At 37.9% G+C, this 9,526-nt stretch overlaps 1 annotated feature.

The window, feature by feature from the left end:
* Positions 2,763 to 2,964: a silencer, noted in NCBI's record as "fragment chr2:139579897-139580098 (GRCh37/hg19 assembly coordinates)". NCBI's record gives its function as "represses an EF-1alpha promoter that drives an FKBP-Casp9 reporter gene in an ReSE screen in phorbol 12-myristate 13-acetate-treated (for megakaryocytic differentiation) K562 erythroleukemia cells {active_cell/tissue: K562(+PMA)}" and the evidence as "EXISTENCE:reporter gene assay evidence [ECO:0000049][PMID:32094911]".

The following is a 9,526-nucleotide window of genomic DNA, read 5'->3' on the forward strand; positions in this document are numbered from 1 at the left end:
GGATCATTAGAAGTATTTAAATATACAATGATTCTAGATCTTGGCTAAGCTTCTCTCTTCCTCCCAAGAATAAATTGATATATTGGACAGCTGCTACTCTTTTGATACTAGGATTTAAAATTATGCAACATTTTAAAAGCAGAGAGAAAGAGAATGATACATAATAAAAAAGAAAGCTTTAAGAACACAGAAACAAATATTAAAGACTATAAAAGAGAAGGAATAAACTTCAAAACAATGTTTAGAATATCTAGGTTTTTTTAGTGTGCGATTACTTATACAATTGCTCATATTTGTGATTGTTCTCAGGAATAACTTTTATTTTTTTATCTTCTTTATGATATATTTATATTTTAAAATTAGAAAAATATAATATTAGGTAAGTCATTAGATCTGTAAAATCCTGTTAGGTTTGGCAATGTTACATTAAGTGCTTTTCTGTACCGATGATGTTGGTGGCTCTGCACCAAGCTATGACTAATCACGGATAGATAGCCCAGGCCAAGTCATTTAATCTTTCTGAACCAAAGATTCATCATCTAGAATCACCTGGAGCTGTGCTGTCCAACATGGTAGACACTGGTCACATGTGGTCCTTGAGCACTTGAAATGTGTCATATCTGAACTGAGGTGTGTTGCGTAAGATGCACATTGAATTTTGAAGACTTATAAAAAATGTAAAATAATGTATTGATAATTGCTTTTACATTGCTTGTATGTTGAAATAATATGTTGGATATAATGAATTACATAATTATACTTAGAAAAATAACTTTACCTGTTTCTTTTTAACTTTTTAACATGGCTACTAAAAAATTTAAATTTACAAATGTGAATTGTGTTTTATTTCTGTTGGACAGCATTAATCTAGAGGATGCAGGTGTTAACTTAATGACCTCTAAAATCCTTCTCACTTAACTCCTCTAGGAATCTAGAGTATATACACAATGTATCAAGGTATGATGGGATGAGGATAGAACATATATGTCTTGGGGTTGGTGTGAAGGTAATTCATGAAGTTAGTTTCAGTGAATAGGAATAATATAATTTCGCACAGGTGCTTGAAACTATCTGAGAATACTGTTTGAAAAAATTTAAGGAAAATGATGGGGAAATGTAGAAAAAAAGATTATTGTCTTAGAGGACATTATGCTGAGTGAAATGAGTTAGGCACAGGAGGACAAATATAGCGTGATGTTATGTGGAATCTTAAACAGTTTAACTCATAGAAGCAGAAAGTGGAATGGTGTTTGCCTGGGCCTGGGACCAGAAATGGGGAGGTATTGGTCAAAGGGTACAAAGCGTCAGTTAGAAAGGAGGAATGAGTTCTGGAAATCTATTGTACAGCATAATGACTGTAGGTCATAATAATGTATCTTTGAAAATTGCTAAGAGGGTAGATCTTAAATGTTCTGGTCACACAAAAAAATGAGGGTATGTGAGGTGACAGATATGCTATAATAACATAAAGCTAATGATTTACTTAAATATTTCCCAATGCATATATATTTCAAAACATCACATTTTATATCAGAAATATAATTTGTATCTGTCAACTATACCTTAACAAAGAAAAAAAATGAGGTGAAATAAAATATTTTTTAAATGAGTAGTGACATGAGTAGTGACATCTCGTATCTAATACAGTAGATACTCTCTTACCTGAATTCTATTTGATTAATTAATTTTTTTTCTGTAAGGCATATAACACTGGCTGAAGCTCACAAATGCACTACTTATTTCTTTCATGGCTTATCAGGTGCCCAGGCAATTATGCACCTACCAATTGATTCATGTACTTACAGGGACATTTGTGTCAATTCCCAAACTTGTTTATGCCAGCTGTATTGGTTGTAATGATTATTATTATTTTGACACAAGGTCTCACTCTGTCACCCAGGCTGGAGTGCAGTTGCATGATCTCAGCTCACTGTAACCTCTGTCTCCTGGGCTCAAGGGATCCTCCCACCTCAGCCTCCCAAGTAGCTGGGAGTACAGCCTCATGCAACCAAGCCCAGTCCATTTTTATGTTTTTTATTTGGAGAGGTGGGTTTCCCCATGTTGTTCAGGTTGGTCTCAAACTCCTGGGCTCAAGTGATCCACCTACCTGAGCTTCCCAGAGTGCTGGGATTCAGGTGTAAGCCACCATGCCCAGCCATTATAATTATTTAACTTAATAAAATACTAAGTAGTTGATAAAATAGAAACGTGAAAAGATCATTGTTGTTTGTATGAAAAATCAGTTTAATGTTTTTAAATCAGTAAAGCCAAGTTGTTAAATCATGCTGTAAAATTCTGTCTAGTTTTGGGGAGAACTGCAAAAGTCTACAAAGATCCCATACTCAGTTTGTTTCACAATGTTATTAAGCTCTATGAAGAAAGTGGAAATTGTAGACAATATAGTATGAGGTGGTTTACGTAAGAATGGCAATGAATACTGACTGCTCTTTGACCCTACATCAAAAGATAATGCATATATTTACTTTTATACATATTGAGATACACACTTAATGAGTATATATCACATTATGTAATTCCCTGCTATGACCACTTTTAGAATGTGACTACATACTGTGTCTGACTATGTTGGATAAGATGTCTTCTAAAGCAGTATTGAGTTGCACTCACTCCCTTTGACTCTCTATTTTTATAAATGATAACCCCTCCACCCTGACCTTCTTATTCTCCCAGGCATAAGCCTGTGGTATTTTCCATGATTCTGTCATGTTATAGACTAAACCTGTAATTCTTGAGACAAGAATGCATTCTATCCACAATCCAGCCTCAGGGTAACTCAACAGCTTCATCCCTACTACCCTGTTCAGGATCTGTGTGCTCCAGCCAAACTGAACTAATCACCAGTGGTGCGTACAACCTGCAATTTCCTATCTTGGCTCGTCATGCTTTCTCTGGCTAGAATATTCTTATTACATATATATATATTTTTAAACCAGGGTTCTTCCACTTATCAGCTGTGTAATTTTGAAAACCATATCCATCCTATCTGGTGGGGATGTTTTGGGAAAGAATGAGATAATACACGTGAGACAGCTAGTACAGTACCTGGTATGTAGTGGTGTTAATCAGTTTTACTTTTTTTTTTCTTTTTTGATGGGGATTTCCAATTGAAATCAATTTTCTCCTTAATTCTTTTAGCATTTTACCTGTACTTCTTTAATGACTCTTAGATTTTAACCTAATTTCATTTGTTAATGTACAATTTGTATCTCACTTAGTGTGGTAGAGATTGCTAGTTTCTTATCCCAACGTCTTTTTTCTTCCCTCACTTCTTAGCAATGAAACCCCACATTATTCAGGAAGTAGTTTTTCCAGCGAAGGGGTATAATCAAACCCTCCTTTTGCTGTAACTGGTCATTTGACTAGGTTCTCTCCAAAGATTCATAAGCAAAAACATTGTGTGAGACACCTGGGAGTCTCCATTTAAAAGCTCAGAGACAAACCGTTATTTGTTGCTTCTTTATTTGTGCTCCCTGTAATGCAGATAGTAGCTAAAATACACCAGCCATTTTGTACCAGAAAATGATATTGAAATTCATTTTGGTTACAACACAAGCATTTTGGTTTTGCTTATATGCAAATGAATTTTATCTTGATAGATTGTTAGACTCTTGCAGAAAAATTCTTGGTCCAACTCACCTTTGTACATCTAACAGCATTGTTTCTCTAACGATCTGTGACTAATTCATTAGAGATGCACACTTTTGTAAAATAAACAAATATGTAAGACATACAAAATATAAGTGCCCATTTTTTATTATTAGGCTTTATTATTAGGTTTTTATTATTAGGTTTATTACTAGGTTTTATTATTAGGTTTAAATGTGTATCTCAATATGTATAAAATCATTAGGAGTGATTTCAGCAAGATGGTAGAATAAGTTTCGTTCTCCCCAACAGAAGTGCCACTAGTAAATATCCACAGACAAGCATGCCATCCTGAATAATCCAGAAGCTGGAAGAGAGGCAGAGACACCCCCCTTGGGCCACAAAACTGAGAAAAGCCACCATCTGATTAATGGTAGGAGGCACAGACCTCTTCCACTACGATAACCCATTCCCCAAGCTGGCAGAGCACCACACGCAAAGAATGCACCTGGAGCCACAGTTTCTACAGTGGGAAAGGGGAACTAAAGGTGAACATTTGGCTTCCCTGCCAATCTAGGAACCTTTGCAGCAGGCCCACTCCTATCTCATTTCAAGGGAAGCACGGAGTGGTGGCCGGATTGAATTACCTGGAGTCAATTGGAGACAAAGAATAGGGGTGGGGCTCACAGCCATCAGCACACAGATCTTGGTAGCTCCTCTTCAGTGCAGTCTGCTGAGGCACCACACCATAGAAAGCAGCCAGTGGTCCACAGGTCCACAGATCTTCCAGGACTGAGTTCCTAGCCACCTTTCCCACATAGCTGGGGTGCTTTTGTAGAGACTTTCCCAGACCTAGCATACACTACAGGCCTGAATTAAGTTCTAGTGCTTACATTAAATCTTCCCCAGATCTTGAAACAACTGCAAGTCAACAGCTAAGTTCAGGTGCAGCAATGAAGTTCCAGTATTTACAGTTATCCCCAGAACAGAAAGCAAATGGGGATCAGAGATTAAGTTCTGGTACGGTAATTACATTCTGAGGCTCACATTAAGCCTTCCTGAGATTGAGAAATAACTGCAGGTCAGCGATTAAATTCCAGTATCAAATAGTAAAGATCTAACACCATCAGGCTGGGTGCGGTGGCTCACGCCTGTAATCCCAACACTTTGGGAGGCCAAGGTAGGCGAATCACCTGATGTCAGGAGTTCAAGACCAGCCTGGCCAATATAGTGAAACCCTGTCTCTACCTAAAATACAAAAAAAATTAGCCAGGCGCCCAGTGGGTGGAGGTTGCAGTGAGCCGAGATCACACCACTGCATTCCAGCCCGGGCAACAAGAGCGAAAACTCTGTCTCAAAAAAAAAAAAAAAAAAAATCTAACACCACCAAAGAGCACATACAAAGGCTGGAAGAGTTGGCCTTCAAATCTGCAAGCATCAATGCAAGGATACAAAGAATATGAAGAATCAGGGAAATATAACCCTACCCCCCAAAACTCCAAAACAATAGCACAATGAATAAAACTCAAGTAATAAACCTAGACAAAAAGGAGAATTATAAAATGACTGGCAAAGAATTCAGAATAATCCCCTTTAAAACTCCTGGGAAATTACAAATATAGATAGAAGATTAAATTTGAAAAACAATTCATGAACAAAATGAGAAGTTTGACAAAAAAAGAAACATTAAATAAAGAAAGCCCAGAAACAGACTATAATAACTGAACTAGTTATAGACTATAATAACTGAACTAGTTAATAAGAAACCTTCATATAATAAAATTTTCTGAAAAAGAGAGAGAAAAAAACTAGTAAGCTTAAAGAAATAATGGCTAAAAATTTCCCAAATCTGGGAAAAGACAATAACATCCAGGTACAGGAAACTCAGAGGTTGCCAATCAAATAGAGTTAACAGGAAAAATTAAAGTTTAATAAATTTAATTAGAAAAAAATTGGAAAAAACAAAGATGTAAAACCATATTCATGGTTGTTTAAGAGTGTGTTGTACAAAATGATTAACATAGAGAATCACTATTGTACTCCTATCTTTTGGTCATTCTGCAATATAATTAAACAAAAGGTCACGAGGAAAAGAACGATTCCATATACTAGACATGTTTACTTTGAATGAACAGCATGTATACCAACATTTAGGTTTTTAATGTGATGAATAATCTTGTTTGTTAATTTATTTAATCCAAGGATAGGATTAATAGCATTGCTATTTTCAGGGAATAATGTACAGTAGACTGTTGATGGGAGTGGAAGTAGGGATTTTAAAGCGCTTATTTCATTTCCATTCCCACTTTCCACTTCACTTATCCATAGGGCAGCTTTGCTGTTGCCTGCATCTTGGTGTAGTTAGAAACATGGGCTCCCGAACCAGTCTTTCTGTGGGTTCACATCTTCGTTCACTATTTACTAAATATCATGCATTGGGCAAGTTATTTAGATGATCTGTATCTCATTTTCTTTGTGAACGAAATGGGGTTGATAAATCTCTATAGAGTTGTTGTGAGGGTTAAACACTTATGGAAAGTGTTTCATAAGTACTCCCAAATTGTTAGCAACCATTTACCAGAGACCAAAGGTAGGAAACAGTGTTTGACAGCATCAGAGAAAAAGATGGACAGGAACAACAAGCTGTTTGTTATAAAGCTCCTCTAGTATGGTGAGCTTTATTAACCAACTGCCGTGGCGGTGCAAGCAAGGGGAAAGCCTTCCTCCCTCCAGCCTTCCCGTGCACTTGCTGGCCCATACAAGAACGCTGCTGAGGTCAACTGTCCCTCAGGAAAGGGCAGTGCTGGGGCCTGGGAGTGCCTGCAGACCCTGGACCATCTTCAGACCCCTTTCTAGCTCCATTTTACTGCATTCACCAAGAAAACTTCTGGTTTTACTTTCCTTTCCCTAAGAATTTTATTGATTGATTGATTGTAGAAATGGGATCTTGCTATTGTTGCCCAGGCTGATCTTGAACTCCTGGGCTGAAGCCACTCCCCTGCCTCCACTTCCCAAAGTGCTAGGATTGCAGGCATGAGCCACTGCACCTGGCCCATCTAGGACATTTAAAAATATTATTTGTTCCTTGCTGAGCCTTAAACACTATAGATCCGTTTTTTTTTTTTTTCAGGACTTTTCATCTTCTGTTCAGATTGCCATTGCATTCCCAGACATGGGTGCTAAGAGTCTAACTTTGGATCTCTGACAAGTGGTGAGCTTCTCATTTTCTCTTGCAGCCCAGCTGAGCCCTCTCCATACTGGCCATATGCCTGCTCCCTTCCTGCTCTCCTGGGCCTCTAGCTAGTCTCTACCTGTCTGATCTGAGCCCTAAACTCCCCCGTCTGGTCTCTCTTCCTGACTCCCTATATGTATGCATGTTTCCAGAACCTTTCCTCTCCTGGTAAGTGACAGTAGAGAACCATTCAGCTAAATATAGATTTTCCATGTCTGCTGGATAAGATAGAAAATTAAATTTGAAAAACAATTCATGAACAAAATGTTTCTTAATAAATAACAGCTAAAATTTGTTGAGGAGAGAAAGCAGACTAAATATCTTCTAGTCTTATAAGTTAATTCTTATCATCAGAACTATGTGACAGTGCAGTAATCAAGGCTTAGCGAGCTTGAGCAATTTGTACAAAGTTAAACAGTTAATGGTGTGGAGTGGATTCAAGCCCTCTTTGGTGGCTGCAAAACCCACCGTCAGGTCACCAAGTTCTGCTGCCTCAGCTAATCACTTGATACCTGGTGAGATGTTCTTATCTTCCTTTGATCCCCACCACAGCCCTATAAAGGAAGCTGAGAAGGGCCTATTATTGCTATTTTACAAGCGAGAAAATTGAGGGCCAAAAAAGACGGCATCAGAGAAGGGGAAGGAAGTGGCCTCCAGACCTCCTAGCAATGAGACTCCAGGGCTCTTGCTACTTCAAGGAAAATTGATGAGATTCCACCCCCAAAGTGTGGTAAGGGGGTGAAGCTCTGTCTCCTGTGCTGACTGGTCAGCCAACTTTGTGATGGCTGGAAGCCCTGCATCCTACCATCTGTTAGGTATGTTTAATATCGCTACTGGTAACAAATTGATCTGTGGGAAGTGTTTAAGCCTAAGCTCTTCCCCCAAGCACTTCCCCCAGATTTAGTTTATTTAAATCTAGTTTCTTTCCCCTACTAACCAGTAAAGAGTATTCGAATTTGTAAGTTTCCAGCGTTTACAGCTTTCCAAATGAACCAGCCAGCATGAAAGAAGTATGTTTTCCTTTTATTTGCTATTTGTAATATTATAGTTTTCACTCTCAGCGCCCATTGGCAGATGCACAGGAATGTTTAGAGATGTATTTATCACTTGGGTTGGACTTGGCTTACACACCCAGCTCAACTCCTGTATCAGGGACTCACCACTCTTTATCACTGTTCACTATGCTCATCAGAAATGAAGCGGCATGTTGACTGGAACAGTAGCTCTATGCTGCCATCTTCTGGAATTCTAGAGAAGATGCTTTTCCTGTGTAGTTACTAGAAAATACTTTTAAGTAGAATTTAAGAGACCTAGACAAACAGAAAAAAACTCAAAACATGATAGATGCTTGTACACTGAAGAAGGAAGCCAGAGAAGATTATTTCAAAACCAAAATGACTGTAAATAAAAGTAATGAAGTTATGCTATGTTTTCATTTTCTTTTCAACATTTACTATACTTGCTGTTAAAAATTTTGGATTGAAATCAAATACCTGCTGTAGTATCGAATCAGACAGGGGTTGAGCATTATCTCCTGAAGATGTGCAATTTTCTTCTTGGCTAAAGCCAATTTATAACTAAGAAAGGCAATAGGGAACAATTCTCCCAGGATTCCATAGACAAAGATCACAGGAAAAGGGAACTTCTGAGATAAAATGGCATTTGTAATCCCCAAGAATGGCTCCAAAAAGACTGTGCTTGCTATAAATCAAGATTTATTTTATCTCTTGAATCTACAGAGATTTCAGAACAAAGGACTTAAAAATATTTTCCAAATCCAAAACGCCAAAAGTGTTAAGCATTTTGGGGATCCTTGTGTTTTTAGGCTCAAACCTCAAATAACTGAAAAGCAATGTAGCCAGAATTTCAATTTTTAAATATATTTGAAATGGTATCAAATTATAAAAAGTTAAACATTCAGAAATCTTGCTATAAAAGTAATTGTAACTGCTATTTCTCTTCCTTGGCTTTAGGTTAAATGTCAGCTCCCCAAGGAAGCCTTCTCCAACTGCTGGCAGACGCCAAGCTCCCTGCTTTACTTCACTTGTTGCTCTCTGCCTTTATAACATTGAACACAGCTGTCCGTGATTAAATATTTATTTGTGTAATATTTAGTCAATTCCTCCCCTTCTCTCCTCAAACATATCTGTTCTCCATGTCTGGCAGAGAAGAGATATTCAATAATTATTTGCTTAATGAATTAATGGCCTTTTGGTGTATGTCCTGGGGTCAGTATTTCTCAGCTTCAATCCCTCGTAACTTCCTCATCCACAACTACTGACAATTCGAGTATCTGTGCCAAATCCAAATTGTCTAATTTAGTTATATTCAGCATACTCCTAATGGAGCCCAGATGGAAAGTGGGCTCTTTCAAGTTCAAAGAATTCTGATCATAAGGGTTGAAGTATCAGGGTTTCTCAGATAAACAAAAGTCCAAAGAACTAAAGCATCCCATTCTCCAAGTAATTTGGTTTTCAATGTCATTAAGCAGACACTATTCCCTCTGATCAATACCATAATATCTCAGCCTCAGTTGACAAATCAGCGTTAGGTTGCTGTCAGATTCCACTAAGAACTATGTGCACCTTCACTTGTCTAAGGTGCCACTGGGTCCATCCATCCATCATAAGGAATCTTTGCCATTTAAGGAGTGATGTCGAGGCCGAGGCGGGTGGATCACCTGAGGTC

The sequence above is a fragment of the Homo sapiens genome, chromosome 2 (assembly GCF_000001405.40).
Source record: "Homo sapiens chromosome 2, GRCh38.p14 Primary Assembly".
Classification (NCBI taxonomy): Eukaryota; Metazoa; Chordata; class Mammalia; order Primates; family Hominidae; genus Homo; species Homo sapiens.